The sequence below is a fragment of the Homo sapiens genome, chromosome 16, assembly GCF_000001405.40.
Source record: "Homo sapiens chromosome 16, GRCh38.p14 Primary Assembly".
Lineage (NCBI taxonomy): Eukaryota > Metazoa > Chordata > Mammalia > Primates > Hominidae > Homo > Homo sapiens.
In genome coordinates, this window is record NC_000016.10 from 35,039,910 (window position 1) to 35,056,492 (window position 16,583).

At 40.8% G+C, this 16,583-nt stretch overlaps 1 pseudogene across 1 annotated transcript in view; it reads left to right on the forward strand.

Annotated features, from left to right (window-relative positions):
• The window catches only part of CCNYL3 (cyclin Y like 3 (pseudogene)), a 29,980-nt pseudogene that overhangs the window by 9,561 nt on the left and 3,836 nt on the right, over positions 1 to 16,583 (forward strand). The window contains exons 5-10 of the transcript NR_158158.1: positions 255 to 355; positions 3,333 to 3,368; positions 6,503 to 6,554; positions 7,141 to 7,260; positions 11,320 to 11,486; positions 16,190 to 16,352. The product of NR_158158.1 is annotated as a cyclin Y like 3 (pseudogene) (transcript). The remainder of the gene's footprint in view (positions 1 to 254; positions 356 to 3,332; positions 3,369 to 6,502; positions 6,555 to 7,140; positions 7,261 to 11,319; positions 11,487 to 16,189; positions 16,353 to 16,583) is intronic.

Sequence of the window (16,583 nt, forward strand, 5' to 3'; positions counted from 1 at the left end):
CTTCCTGGGTTTGACGATTGGTATCATAGCAAGGGCAGCATTTTATAACCCATTCCTCGAACATCATCTGCAGAAGTTAAGCACCTCCAATGAGTTTCCCATAGAGCTGCTCACAATACCACACTCAGGCAGGTCATGGGGTATAAAAAATACCTTAATGCTTTATTATTTGACATTTTGACTAAGGAAAAAAGCCCACACTTTTGTAGGTTCAGCCTACTGTGACATTTTTCTCTATCTTCCTTCTCCTTCAGATACCTCCATGGCATCTTGATAGAAAATACGGCTCATGTTCCACCATATTGCTAGATAACAGCACAGCCAGCCAGCCTGACCTTAGACATACATTAGAAAGGTGAGTAAAACGAGGCTGCCAAGGGCTGAGTGACAGACCCCCATATGCTAAAAGCATCACAGCCATCCTCTGTCATTTCAGCCATTTGGTTGCCCTTTTCAGCAAGCAGTTTAAGAAGTTGATGTCAATGATATATGGATTTCTGGGACCTAAATATGAATTTTCTGTTTCTCTTTTAACCTTAGATGCTGTGTGGTAGAAGGGAAAGCCAGATAGCAAATAAGCAATCCCAGAAAAAGAGTAGCTATTTATTTGATGCATTTATGTTATGACAGTGTTGAACCTAATGGGAAGGAGAGGTGCTTTTTATTGAAAGTTTCTGGGAAAAATTATTAGTTCTTTACAGGCCAAAGACGATGGGTAATACTTTGGAAACTACTCTTGAAAGAAGGAACAGCTTGTCCTCCAGTGGTGCCATAGTATATCTGCATTTACATTTTGCCATCATGCATGAGCACTTCATAGGCCACAATCAGAAATGCCTTTTCAAAACACCCTTGGACGATGGGTTCAAGTTTATTTAAAAAGTCACAACAAAGCCCAGTTCCATTGAGGCATCCAGGGAACATTATTAACATCTCCTTAGATTACGAGCATTGATTTTTGGGAAAACAGTTTGAGAACTACTACCTTAGCATGTTAATGTCCTTATCCCTAACTTAACTTTCCAGTCTATAAACATGACTAGCTTACAAGCTTAATTTTGTTTCTAATGTACTAGCTTTTTAAGCTAATTTGTCAGTAACTTCTACTTTAATTAAAAATGATAAACTTACACTCATAATAATGTCACTTTCCTCTCTCCTGTGTAACAATTATTGAGATCAAATTGTGTTTCATCAGGAACTGGACTCCACCTGTGTCTAAAGCCCTGAGTTTTGGCCTCTATGGAGTCATCACCTAATGTTTGTATTCAGCCCTAAGTAAAAAGGCACTCTGTTTTGGCTAGAGTCCCTGGTTTCTTATGATTTCAAAAGATTCTGATGTTTCAGTATGCAATTCAAAAGTAGTTTTTAAGCTTCACCTTGCTCAAACAAGTAGAGGTTCTGCTTTTTCTTCCAGCATAGTCTAATTCTTACAAGTTGTTTTAAAATAGATTATTTTTTTCTTTTTTAGAGATGGGGTTTTGCTGTGTTGGCCAGGCTGGTCTCAAACTCCTGGTCTCAAGCAATCCACCCAACTCAGCCTCCCAAAGTGCTATGATTACAGGCATGAGCTACCACGCCTGGCCTGGAAGTCTATTTTTGAAATACAGTTAGTTTTAATTTGCTCTCAAATTTTAGAAGGGATCATTTGGTATATTTACTTTTATGAAATAAAGATTTACTGAGCAAATTAATAGAGCAAATTGGCTTTCAGAAAGATTTTCAAAAATGTTTTCCATGGTTAGTAGTCCATTGTACTCAAAGGCATGAGTGAGCCATATTAGAATCACTTATACCTGTTTCTTCAAAATATATCTCTGCAAACACATGCATCTTCCCAGCTCCACATTCCCTCCATCTCTGGCACTCACAAGCCTTTTAGAAAAATGGTTAAGTATGTGAGGCATCATTATATGGATAAAAGCATCCCAGATGATTCTGACCTTAACCCTAACTCAGTCATTCTCAAACTTTGCAGCACATTGGATTCACCTGGGGATCTTTACCAACAACCCTGATGCCCAAATCATACACAATGCCAATTAAATCAGAATGTCTCCAGCTGGTGGTGAGGCTGTTTTTAAAGCTCCTTAGGTGGTCCAGTGTGCAGCAAACGTGGGGGCCACTGCTTCCTTTGCACGGAGGAGTGATGGTTCTAACGTATAAATTACATGTTTCCCTGTCATTTGCTCTTCTTTCTACTCATAGAGCCTTTCATCTGTGCAAGTCATTTCTATGTATGTGTGCATATGCTTAAATTTAAACCATACCACAGTGTTTTGTGAACTCCTGCAGTTCACAAAAGCACTATGTGGGGATCTTGGGCAAGTCAGTTTGAAGCCTTGGTTCTCTTATTTGTAAAATGGGTGGTTCATGGAGTGTCATGTAAGGTTCAGTGGCCTTTTCAGCATGTAACTTCAAATTCTGTGATTTTGAAATCAATTTGGAGATGGAACTGTTTGAGGCACTATAGAAATATCGATCTTAGATGCTAATAATGTTGTAAGGTCTACTTTTTACAACTCAAATTTGCCTTCTCAAATTATTCTGAGCCTCATTTTAAATGCTGAGGGCAAATGGAAGCACAGAACTTATCCAAGAGAAGCCCCTGTTTGCTGACACACACCATCTGAGGATGACTGAGGACCACAGTAACATACATCTGAAGAGTTGTATTTGTTCACTAATATTTTGTTTAAACGAATGTGGAAATACCTGTCATGAATATTGTATGATGCTGTGTTATGCTCTTTAGTGCTGCTTATTTCAGGATAGTTACAAGTGTCATCAATTTTTGTGTGCATTATATTTACTAATAAATTTTCTGTTAATAATTATGCAGAGGTGATTTTAAATTACTTTATTTGGTATAAAGCACAATCATTGTGTGCTTTTAGGGAACTAATGATAAATGGGTGAGTAGGCGATGGAGAACTAAATCAGCTGAAATGCAGGGCCTAGCCACTTAACAAGCAAAACACTACTATATGGCCTAAATGTAAGCTTATGTACACATAGATGTAAGTGACTTGCACAGGATGAAAGGTTCTATGGGTAGAATAGCAAATGACAGGGAAAATATGTAATTATTTATATATAATAACCATCAGCAGAAACATCTTCTAACAGCATATTGCCTAGCATTTTGGTTCTCCTATTTTCACTATAAAGCCAGAGAGCTAAAACAAAAGAAAAGTGCTCATATGGTACTGTTTTGAACAAGAGGATTTCAGGGCCACTGAGAGAATTCCTCCTCCCCCTTTTAAAAACATGTATTCAGGCCTAACCAATGATAAAATCAGTTCTTACAAATATATTTTTTCCCTCCACAGTGTGGCTTTGGCAATATATTACAACATAAAGCACAGGTGAGCTCTTTGAAAACCTGCCTTGTTATTCCAGCTCATCACTTTGTATAATATGAAACATGCTGTTAGGTCATAACTATAGACATAAGCTGTAGAGTGCTTACTTTACAGTATTAAAGTGAATCATTTGTGGGTTTTTTGGTCTGTAAGACTCTTTTAACTCTTAAATTATTGAGGGTCCCAAAGTGTATTTGTTTATGTCTTGTTTGCAATTTATTGTAAAGAAGAAATAAAAAGATGAACTAGCCTCATGCAAATGTGTAGTAGGAAAAATGTGTATTTTTAAAGCTTTCAGGTAATCGTGGGTATTCTTTAACCACACCAAAACTTCACAAGTGCTGACTTATTAAAATAGTTATAATGGGATTGTACATATCAATGAATTCATTCCACTAATACTCACTGATCTTTCTCATACCATAAATGGATCTCTCCACTTACTGTCTTTTATAATATTATGCATTGGCTATTTGGAAAATATTAATTCATGTTCATTGATAGTGTCAAAAACTCACTTTCATTAGTATCACCATGATTATAAAAATGTCTTCAAATATTGAGATGCCGTCAAGCTCACAGTAGTAGGTATGAGTTTTCCAAGTCCTGATTTTAGCTTGAAAGCTTTAGCTTTATTATAGACAACAAATACTTGTTATTTTCCTTGAAATGACAGACTCATTTGACTTCTTTTTGAGAATGACAGTCAGTCAAACTTTCAGATAGAAATGGTGTTCTGTTAAAAATTTGCTTGTTCAGCTCACAATTAAATCACAAGTGCTTTTCTTTAACATACCCATACTTCAGTATGCAGAAGTGGTTTATGTGAACTTCCTACTTTATTGGGGAAACCAGCCCCCAATATTTCAACGTAGGTTCTTTTCTATTTTCTTTAAGTGTCGGCCAGTCTGAGAAATAAAGAAAAAGAGTACAAAGAGAGGAATTTTACAGCTGGGCCTCCAGGGGTGTCATCACATATTGGTAGGACCGTGATGACGACCCTGAGCCGCAAAATCAGCAAGTTTTTATTAGGGATTTTAAAAGGGGAGGGGGTGTATGAACAGGGAGTAGCTCACAAGGATCACATGCTTCAAAAGGCAATAAAAGATCACAAGGTGAAGGCAAAATTAGAATTACTGATGAGGGTCTATGTCCTGCTGTGCATGCATTGTCTTGATAAACATCTTAACAGGAAACAGGGTTCAAGAACAGAGAAATGGTCTGACTAGAATTTACCAGGCTGGAATTTCCCAATCCTAGTAAGCTTGAGGGCGCTGCAGGAGACCAGCACGTATTTCAGTCCTTATCTCAACCGCATCAGACAGACACTCCCAGAGCGGCCATCCATAGACCTCCCCCCAGGAATGCATTTCTTCCCCAGGGTTATTCCTTGCTGGGAAAAGAATTCAGCAATATTTCTCCTACTCGCACATCCATTCATAGGCTTTCTGCAAGAAGAAAAATATGGCTGTATTCTGCCCAACCCCACAGGCAGTCAGACCTTATGGTTATCTTCCCTTGTTCCCTTAAATCGTTGTTATTCTGTTCTTTTTCAAGGTGCACTGATTTCATACTGTTCAAACACACGTTTACAGTCAATTTGTACAATAGTGGTCCTGAGGTGATGTACATTGTCAGCTTATGGAGATAATGGGATTAAGAGATTAAAGTAAAGACAGGCATAAGAAATTATAAGAGTATTACTAGAGAAGTGATAAATGTCCATGAAATCTTTACAATTTATGTTCAGAGATTGCAGAAAAGACAGGCATAAGAAATTATAAAAGTATTAATTTTGGGAACTGATAAATGTCCATGAAATCTTCACAGTTTATGTTCTTCTGCCTTGGCTCCAGCTGGTCCCTCTGTTCGGGGTCCCTGACTTCCTGCACCACTACTTAGAATACTTAAAAGAGAGTTCAGGACTTAATAACACCATTAATTTTTACTGTTTCATCAAGGATATTCTTAAGTGAAGCAGGATATTTTAATAAAAACTGCAAGGGGGAGTGAAGAGTGTAATGAATACTAGTATAATTTGGTACCACAGCCCTTATTCTTACTGAGAAACAAGAAGTTTTACCCACTTTTGCTTTTATGCAATCATTACAAGTGTTGAACAGTGAAAAAGCAAGCAATGTCTTAATACTTTTAGAAAGTAATAAATTATGTTTTATTTTCAATCAGCTTCTCAGGTTGAATTAGTATTCTTATAAGAACATTTTGGGCCATAGGTGGTGGTTGACACCTGTAATTCCTGCACTTTGGGAGGCCAAGGTGGGAGAATTATTTGGGACCAGGAGTTTGAGACTAGCCTGAGTAATGTGGCAAGACCCCATCTATACCAAAAAAGAATTAAAAATTAGCTGGGCATGGTGGTGTGCACATTTCATCCCAGCTCCATGGGAGGCTGAGGCAGGAGGATCGCTTGAGCCCAGGGAGTCAAGCCTGCAGTGAGCCATGTTTGTACCACTGTGCTCCATCCTGGGTGAAAGAGCAAAACCCTGTCTCAAAAAAAAGAACTTTTGACATCATGGGCCTCCTAGGGAATCTCAGGGATCCTCAAACCACATTTGGAGAACCACTGGTTTCCTAAATGAGCATACAATGTGTTAGTTTTTTAAAGTTCATTAAGACTGGCCTCTTTTAAAATAAAAAGACAATTAAGTTTGTAACTCAAACTACTTAAACAAATATGATAAACATGTAATAAAGGAAGATTTGGTAAATCTGAATCTCATTCACATTTATTACAAGTTATAAGTTTATTGCCAACCACTACTGCTTTATAAAATGCTCTTGCGTTCCAGCATGTGGTTAGAGGAGTGAAAATAGATATAGTTTATTACCATTGCCTGTTAGCGGGGGTCAATATTTAAAGGCAAGTCTGGCTCATCAATGTAGAAAAGACTTCACAGTTCACGACATAGTGTGCTGAAGAAAAACAGGTCAAGAAACCCTCTGAAGGCCAGGATCCAGGAGAAAAATTTGCAAAAACTCTTTTGATGAACAAATTTTACCAAAGCAAACAAGAGGTATCTCTCTCCACCCTCCATGCCCTACTCCCAAGCAGATATTTTACTAAGATATTAACAATTCCCGAATTAATTTCTTGAATGCACGTTCTTATTTTATAGATATGCAAATAGATCTCTGGCTATTTTTGAAGAGCCAGTACATCCACTTCCAGTAAGTGTTGCTTTATTTGAGGTTCTATTTTTGTCTCATAGAGTTATATTTAGTTCATGCTGAAGTCAGACTCACCCACCTTTAAGTCTTCCCTCTGTTGTGTCTAATCATCTTATATAAGGAGTGTTGTAAAGTGGGCACACTGGAGTAAGAGCTGACTTGCAGCTTTGCTTAATTAGTGTGCTAAGGGGAGTAAATATACCATCCAAATAACAAAATGTGTCATTTAAAAAATAATTTTCTATAGCAGCAAACAATATAAATATTTGTAAATAGTCCTAACAAATATGCACAACTTCTGTAAATAGAATTAGAAAACAATTTAAATCAGTTTAAATGCTACAAAAATTTAAAAACTTCCTTCTTCAGATATATGATAGCCACAGGTCCACCTTAGGGCCTATGTTTACAGAAAACCAAAAATATTTTAATATCCTTCTGTTTATATTTTTAAAATAAAAAGACATTTTATCTCATCAAAATTGTTGTAAGGGACACATGGGCACAAATGTGAACACTGCCATCTTAAGAGTTCTTAAAAAGTTTCCTTGAGTGGATATTTATATTGCCTTTTTTCTTCTTTCAGCAAGAGAAGCTTCCAGGGAAATCCTTCAAGCATGATCCCAAACGCAACTGTATTTTCAGACATTTCTGTACTCTTTTTCAAGTCATAAAACTAACAGCTCCATGTGCAATTGTAGCTTTGGTAAGATATTTCTTATTTATAAAGCATCTTTAACAACTGGTCTCCTACACAGCGTATGGCCATGTTTCTAACTAAAAGTAGATTCCTGAAATTATCATCAGATCTTTTAAGAGAAACCTGTGCAAGCCATTAAATACACATATTTGAGTTGAATCATCATTATGGTTTAAAATGATGCCATTGCTTTTCTTATCACAGAATAATTGCTATTAAAGGCAGCAGGAGAGATTTCTGGTTTCTTCCTCAACAGATTCCAATGTAGATCTAAGCTGAGTCCCAGGCCATATTCCCCGGGCACTTCTGATGCATGCTGTGACTGGGAGCTGCTGCTCTGAATGCTTTGTTGTTCCTGCTGACCTCTTGTGCCTGCTCCAGAAATTGCCCAGGAACGTGGTACCAGGAAGACTTGGACACAGGCTTTGCTAGGTAGCCTGCTAAGCCATAGCTGTGTCCTTACATCTACATCATTCTCACAGAATTCCTGTGGTGAGACTCATTCTGAATATGAAGCCCTTTTCAGATGGCTGGGATTGATTTACCCCTCCCCACACTAACCTGTAGAGGAGTGTCAACCATGCAGCCAGGAGAGAAAAGATACTTAGAACAGTAGTACCCTCTCCTTTAGCATCTGGCTAGAGCTTAGAAGAGATGGCTTCTGCTAGGCACCTGCATAGAAATCCCTCCATGGGCATTGGATCAGGTGCAGTCCTCTTCATGGAGCTGCAGGCCATTTGGAATGCTCAGCACATGCTGGCAGGAAGCAGAAGTGGAACTTCCAGCTAGAGAGAGAGAGCTGACACAGGAGGGAAAGCTGGATTGGAAGAAGGGGGAGTTCACTGTAGACAGGCTAAATTTGGTGTGCCTGTAAGATAGCAGAGTGGCCGTGTACAGTCAATATTTGTATCTATGGGACTGGACCATGAATCTGAACTGGAAATAAGGAATAAGGAGTAAGAGTACCTGCTCAAGGCTGGGCACAGTGGCTCACACCTGTAATCCCAGCACTTTGGGAGGCTGAAGCAGGCGGATCACCTAAGATCAGGAGTTTGAGAGCAGCCTGACCAACATGGTGAAACCCTGTCTCTACTAAAAAATACAAAAAATTCGCTGGGTGTCATGGTTGGCGCCTGTAATCCCAGCTATTCGGGAGGCTGAGGCAAGAGAATCACTTGAACCCAGGAGGTGGAGGTTGCAGTAAGCCAAGATCACACCACTGCACTTCAGCCTGGTCAACGAGAGTGAAACTCTGTCTAAAAAAAAAGAGAGTAGCTGCTCAAATGCAGAGAAAGTGTTTAGAATGAAAGTGGAGAAGCCGGGCATGGTGGGGACACACCTATAGTCCCATCTGCTTGGGAGGCTGAGGCAGGAGAATCAGTTGAAATCAGGAGTTTGTGTCCAGCCTGGGCAACATAGCAAGTCCCCATCTCTAAAAAGGAAAAGAAAAGAAGGTGGACAGAAGATAGCTGTGTAAGGACTACCAGCATGTAAGGGACAAGCCCCCAGTAAAGTGGCTAGAGTGGGAGGAGGAAGAGCAGGAGAGGATAATAAAAGAAGAGCAAAGGGGTCAAGATAGGAAAGGCTGTGGTCACAGGGCTAAATGCTGCCAAGAAGTTGTCCGTTCCATAAACACCCCCTGCATGCCGACCCTGTCCCATTCTTCTAAGTGCTGGGGTAGAGAAGAGGACAGGTTGAACACAGTCCTTGTCTTTATGTGCTCATGTTGCAATGAGGAAAGCATTTTTTTAGGTTATGGAAAATAGCAAAACGATAAAGCAGGATAAAGACAGAGTGATGAGAGGGGCTCATTATTTCAAATAGAATGATCAGGAAGAGCATCTCTAGAGAGGTCACATTTGAACAGTGACCTGACTATAAAGCGAGGACGATAAGAAGTGCTGGCATGACAGGAAGTAGGATGAGTGCTGAGACTGAGACAGAAACACATTTCATGTGTGTTCAAGGAACAAACACCAGGGGGCCCACGTGGTGAGAGGAATGAAGGAAAGAATGGAAGAGATGAGGCTGCACAGGCAGTGCGACAGCTCACAGAGCCCTTTGGCTTGCAGGCCATGGGAAGAAGCTCAGGTTTTATTCCAGTTTGATGGGGGCGCTCATGGTAGATCTTGAGGAGGGGAGTGCAGTGTTCTTAATTTAAGAGGTTATGGTGACGGCTTTGGGGAGAGTAGACCACAGTTGGGAGGAAGGTTGGGGCAGAGAAGATTACCAAGAAGCAAATAGGGTGATATAGGTGAGCCGTGACACATGGCGGCTCAGAATCTGAAGCAGGCAGCCTACCAGTGAAGGTAGGCATAGAGGGAGTGCACACAGATTGAAACAGGGTAACTCACATTTAAGTGTTAGTCCCCAGGAGCTAGGCCAATGGCAATTCCCTGGACAAGATTAGGGCCAGCTTGGAGAGTGGAGCCTTGGGGTGAAGGGCTCTGGTTTGTAAGTGTCAAGACTCTGAGGACCTTTGCAAGAGGAGTCTGAGGCGAGTGATGGGGGTGGGTGAGGTGGGTTAAGGAGAGATGGGAGGTGAGGAGCTGGCAACAGGGCCTGATGCTGTGAGCAAATTGAGAGGATGCCTCTGGGAAGCTGTGGGGAGCAGGATGGGAACAGGAAACACGTTCATATTGGGGGAAATCTCTGGCAGAGAGGGAGAAAGGCTTCAAGAAGAGGTGATTTGGGGAACAGTGTTCTGCAAAAGTGGGATGGGATCCACTGTGCTGATAGAAGAGTTGGTGTTAAAAAAGGAGCTTTCTCACTGACCCAGGAGGGCAAGTGGTTTCGGTGAGTGTCAGCAGGTCCAGCTTACCAGTAAAGGTGACAGGAAGTTGAGGGCTTGCCAATGCTGTTTAAGTGCTCTCTAATGAGTGCTGTGGAGTTGAACCCTGGGAGGGAGGGTCATTCCTGGGATACTCAATAGTGCAGAGTTAGGGGGAAAGGGAGCAGAATCTCTCATAAGAACATATCATGTTCAAGAGCCATTTGATTTTGAAAACACAGTTGAGTTTGGAGAACATTGCCATATCTGAGCCGCCAATCTGATAACCTTCAGACAATAAATGAACTCTCTTAAAATGAACTGTTTTCCTTTGATCTTGATACAAAGATGTCAAGTAGCATAGAGACATACTCTTCTGCAGAGCACCCTCTGGGATAGCAACGCCTCACCGCTCACCTCTGTAACCTCCACTCAGCTGGTCCCTCACCAAGTTCTTTATAGGATAGAGATTGGATAGATAGAAAATACTTTCTGAGATTGTCTCACAAACTGCTTGGCATGTTGAGAGGAACCCCAGGGATACAGAGGCCGACAGCTGTCTCTGCCTAAAACCCAACTGAATTGACTGAATGCAGATACTATAGAACAAGAAATGAGTTTTCTTGAAGAGATTGTGGAGACGTGGAACATAGGGGCTGTGAGCAGGACCCTCCTTTCATACTCATGTGTTCCTTATCAAGCACTGAATACGGAGATTATTTCTCAGCCACAGAGACCTGTGCTTGTCATGCTGTCTGCATGGCAGGCATTGGGAAGTGACCTTGATCTGCAGTTCCTCAGCTGGTGTCCCAAGAGCGGGTTAGTTATTGTGAAAAGGAGAAGACAGCAGTGTTCTCAGTATCACTTGAGTGTTACATATTCAAGCATGGTATACCTGTAAAATTCCTATCTACCTGCCAGCCAGGCATGATGCTGCACACAGACAGCACTGGAGTGTTTCCTGAACAACCTTAATCTGCACTGGGCCTGAATTTGTGCTGCCTTTAATGAGTGTGAAGGTGCTGATGGTGCCTCTCTTCATGCCCGCAGAGATGTCCAGTCCTCCCTGTGACCAAAATTGGGCTGGAAATGTCTATAGGCAGAGTAGGCTGCAGAGGTATCTGACTATGACTGTGATTTGGCCTCTTGCTTTGTCTGAGCAAAGTCTCTGCAGAACATAAGAATAAAAGGCACTTACTTTCTGGTCAAAACCGGAAGAAATCTTTCATTTTTAAATGTTCGTATCACCACACTTAAGCTGAACTGAAATCAAAGAGCAGTGCTCTATTTTGCAGGTATACATCAAACGACTTCTAACTAGTGCTAACATCGATCTTTGTCCTACTAATTGGAAGAAGATTGTCCTTGGAACCATGCTTCTTGCCTCCAAGGTTTGGAGAAATCATGGTCTGTGGAGTGTGGATGACAGCCAGAATTCCAAGGACACTGCAGTTGAGAACATGTGAGTTTGTAAGGTTTTGGTGAACTGTGTAACCAATTTCCATACCTCATTTGCTCTCCAAGTTAACCCTGTAAACAATATCTTTATAGGTTTCATCGTGCAGATAAAGGAAATAGGCATAAGACCACAGACTTCTCTCTATCCAGCTTTAGTATAACAGTTTATATTTTTTGGCATTCATGGGTAGGTCTTGATGTGTTATTGTTGTAATAACCTCCTGGATAAACTGAAAAGCATTTTTCTGATTGTTTTTTGGCAAACCTCTTACAAGTGTACTATTAGAATGACACAGTACAATAAATATCTTTATAGCTTTTTAGAAGCTATCTGCCAGTTTCAGTCCCTTTTTAAGGGACAAACATTTGGCCTTTGAAATAATTGGCCACTGTTAAGGTCTTAAGGACTCTGGACTATGGAGAAGTTATAGCTTCAACCTAAGTCACCCTTTGTATAGTTGCCTTTGCTGGTCCTTTCCTCCCCATTTTATCTGAAGATCTGTTTTTATAGGAACCTTGAGATATGAAGTTAAATAGCCACAGATTCCTGTGCCCTGGCCCCTCCCCATTGGGAGTGTTGCATGTGTTTGGAAATTAACCTGATGAGTTAGAAGCTCCAACGTTCGCCTCCTGCAGTGTGAGAAGCATTTCTGGGGCATCTCCCCATGCCCACCACACTCACAAAGCTCCATGGGTACTCAGACATCCGCAGCAGCATGCTGGGGTCTGGAGTTGCCCATGAGAGTGCAAGGAGTCTTGTGGAGTCATGGGGTTCCTCCCAGATGCACCAACATGACACTGAAACGCAGCTTCACCAGGGCTCCCTTCCAATCTGACCTCATGACTGCTGTGAAGGGAAGGGACCTGCAGCTGGCAGGCAGGGAGAGCAGGGAGGCATTTCCAGCAGAGCCTTCCTGGGTGCCTGCTCGACAGTGAGGACAGCTGTGCAGGCTGCATCTGTGCAAGACAAGGGAGCAGCCCTTGTTCACACTGAGCAGCAGCAGCAGATCAAGATCATGCCAGGCATGGGACAAGTTAGTTTTGTGACCTTTGTCCATGACTCCAGATAATACTGTCATTCTGAATCACCTCAGTGTATGTCTGCAATTGAAGATATAGTGTCTGTTGTAGGTATACCTCAGTGTATATCTACATTTAAAAATGAGCCCTTTGCGGCTGAGCTCAGTGGCTCATGCCTGTTATCCCAGCACTTCAGGAGGCTGAGGTGAGTGGATCACTTGAGCTCAGGAGTTGAAGACCTGCTGGGTAACACAGTGAACCCTGTCTGTACAGTTTTTTTAAAAAAATTAGCCGGGCATGGTGGCAGGCAGCTGTAGTAGTCCTAGCTACCTGGGAGTTTGAGGTGGGAGAATTGCCTGAGCCTGGGAAGTTGAGGCTGTAGTGAACTGTGATCACATCACTGCACACCAGCCCTGGGTGATGGAGCCAGACCTTGTCTCAAAAAGAAAAACAAAAATCTACTTTTGCCACCACTTTGCCAATAGTGTAAACCAAGTGATCATGGTGATATTTCTGGTAGCCATTTTAGCAAAGAGTGTGACCGCAAATGAATTTGAAACTAACGGAAATACTTTGGATGTTGCAAACACTAAGGTGGCCTTGATCATAGTCATCCATTTGTAAACTGGTTCCTCAAAGGAAGCAAGATTTGTGACTGCCCAACTTCTCCTTGCCTGCTGCCTAGTCAGCGCTGATTTATTAAGACAGGCAAATTGCAATAGAGAAAGAGTTTAGTTCATGCAGAGGCAGCTGTACGGGAGACCAGAGTTTTACTATTACTCAAATTAGTCTCTCTGAAAACTCTGGGATGGTTTTTTAAAGAATAATTTGGTGGGTAGGGGGTCAGAAAGTGGTGAGTGCTGATTGATCAGATCAGAGATGGAATCACAGAGAGTTGAAGCTGTCCTCCTGCACTGAGATGGCTCCTGGGTGGGGGCCACAAAACCAGATGAGCCAAGTTTATTGCTTGGAGTGGTGCCACCTTTGCCCAGCACAGGGCCTGCAAAATATCTCAAGCACTGATCTTAGGTTTTACAATAGTGATATTATTCCCAGGAGAAATATGGGGAGGTTCAGACTCTTGCAGCCTTCAGCCGCATGACTCCTAAACCATAATTTCTAATCTTGTGGCTAATTTGTTAGTCCTGGAAAGGCAGGCTAGTCCCCAGGCAGGAAGCGGGTTTGTTTTGGGAAAGGGCTGCTACTGTCTTTGTTTCAAAATTAAACTATAAACTAAGTTCATCCTAAAGTTAGTTTGGCCTCTGCCTAGGAATGAACAAGGACACCTTGGAGGTTAGAAGCAAGATGAAGTCAGATCAGCTCTCTTTCACTGTCACGATTTTCTTAGTTACAATTTTTGCAAAGGCGGCTTCAAATTTGTAATCATGAACACTTAGTTCTACCATCATGGCAGCTGAATTGTTCTCAAAACCTGCAGCTCAGCTGGCTGGGGCTCTGAGTTCTAGTCACAAGATCAGAGAGCATGCAGGGATATGTGCAGGTTTCCACAGAAGTGAGCTCCAGGAGCAGTGGGGCAGAGCCTAGCTCCAAGAAGACCGGTTCCAAACAGTGCTGTTGGTGTGTGAATGGTGAAACACCAGGAGCTATGCTCCAAGAAGGCTGCTTCTGTTTATGATCTTGGGAATTTGAAAAGCATTACATCAAAGTGTTTATAGACATTTGTTTCAGCCCCCTGCTGTTGACTCTTTGCAATGGTCCCGTTTTGAGTGTAAATGTAACAGTTAAAAAATTGGTGTTGATCAGATTTTTCTTAAAACTTTCCAATATCCCCACATGGCACATGTATACATATGTAACAAACCTGCACGTTGTGCACATGTACCCTAAAACTTAAAGTATAATAATAATAAAATAAAAAAACTTTCCAATATCTATGTGTCTCCCTAGAATATTTCCTTTCTAAAGAGTAAGTTAAACTAAGTAGCTGCTATTTGGAAAATTTGCTGTGTCTGTAAAGGGTATGCTATTCAATCATCTAGCCATTTAAAAGAAACCACAAAGCCCAGAAGATGCATATTCTATACACAGAATGATTTTCTTCAGGATTAAATTTCTATTAATATGTTAATTCTGTGAAGTACTGTATTTCTACACGGTTACAACGTACTAATGGAGAAAATAAAAAGGGATAGTGAAGTGCCTTTAATTCCTGTCATAAGTCTAGTCCTGATTAGCTATCTATTCATATATTATTTGAATTATATATATAATTTGAATTATATATATAATTGAATTATATATATATTTGAATTATATATAATTAAATTATATATATAATTTAATTATATATAATTGAATTATATATATAATTTTATATATATTATATATAATTCAAATATATAAATATATGAAATAATATTCATATTTATTTGAATTATATATATATAATTCGAATTATATATATATAATTCAAATATATATATTTACATTTCTATGGACTTATGGACATTTGAACAGAAAATTAATTTTGGAAGTAGGTTCAGCTGGGTTTTAAGTTCAGCAAATGAGATCACCTCATTTTGGCTCGTGGTCTAACTGCCCCCCTTACAGGAGAACATCAAGCATTTGTTGACTTAGCCAGTGGGTAAAATATTAAAACTTTCAAACCAAGAAACCAAATATATTGTTTAGATAGTGATCATTTTTAAGCAATTAACTCATTACAGGGGTTACTCTGAAAGCAGCCAGATTTACTCTAACTGTGTACCTATTAATTTAGCCTTGGTGAGGGCGGCTGGATGACCGTGTGGCAGAGGACGGCTCCCAGCCCTTTAGTCTCCCACTGCATTCAACTCCCCCACATCCCGTTCTGGCCAGGGGTGACAGATGCTGAGCGCTTCACGGTTGCATTCCCAACTCAGGAGCAACACCGCATGTGTAAGGCCAGGGCCCTTCTAGAAATCACATCGTAAAATGGGTTTAGTCTAGCCAAAATGTCTCTCCTTGATTTTTCTGCCTTTCAAACTTTAAAGAATATCCTTGTCCTGTCACAGTGGCAGTTTCAACTCTTCATAATACTAAGGTGAGCAGAAACTTGTGTTATGCCCCTTTGACATAGCCTTGTGGGCTGGAGCAGAGGGAAGGGGATTCTTTTTGCCATGGAATGTAGCTTGCTTACGTAATTATTTGGGATGAATCCTTCTTGTAGCCTTAGAGTTTTTCCTCCTCTGAGATAATAGGGTGGCTCTCCATGGGTCCATTTGTTGCTGTGGTGATGCACCCAGTCCTCTTGTTGGTGCTTCTCTACTTCAGTAAGCCCCTTCCTGTTATCGTCCTGGTAAAAATGCCTGGAGGTACTAAAGAGCTAATAAATGACACCCATCATTCCTGTCATGTGATTGCTATTGCGTGTCTTGTGAGTGAGCATGGAGTTTGAGTTGTGCAGCTGCCCTAAGGGAACTCTGAAGAATGAGCCCCGATTCAGCAGCAGGAGTGCAGAAGAGGCTTCCACCTTTCCCTTATCCCAAACTTGGGGTGCTGGGATGCAGAAGAGCCCCAAGCAGCTGTGTCTTATTTGGACATTAGTGTAGGGACCTGATCATGCAGCCTTTATGTGTTTCAAAATAGAATTTAGAGCATCCTAGTAGCTCAGAATGATATTTTTAAAGATAACCCACTTGACTAGAATTGTCCTATGTTGGTTTTATTGTGTTTCTCCTCCCCCAGGAGCAAGATGGAGAAGTGTTTCTTGGAGCTACTTGAGTTTAATATTCATGTGTCTGCCAGTGTTTATGCAAAATATTACTTTGACCTGTGTGCCTTGGCAAATGACCATGACCTGTATTTTCTATTTAGCTTTCTTCACAAAGATAAAGCCCAGAAACTGGAGGTAAGGATGTGAAGTCACTTAGTGGAGTTTTCCATAGGCCACAAAAGCCAAAATCTGTTACAAAATCATATTAAGTAGTGATTTGGAAAATGAAAGCCTTAAAATTAACAGAGCAAAGAGCTTATTTCTTTGGCATCATATTTCTTATCTTTTATGGTCTATAGAAGGATCCATATTCTTAATTAATTAATTAATTAGTTTTTTTTGTTTTTTGAGACGGAGTTTCACTCT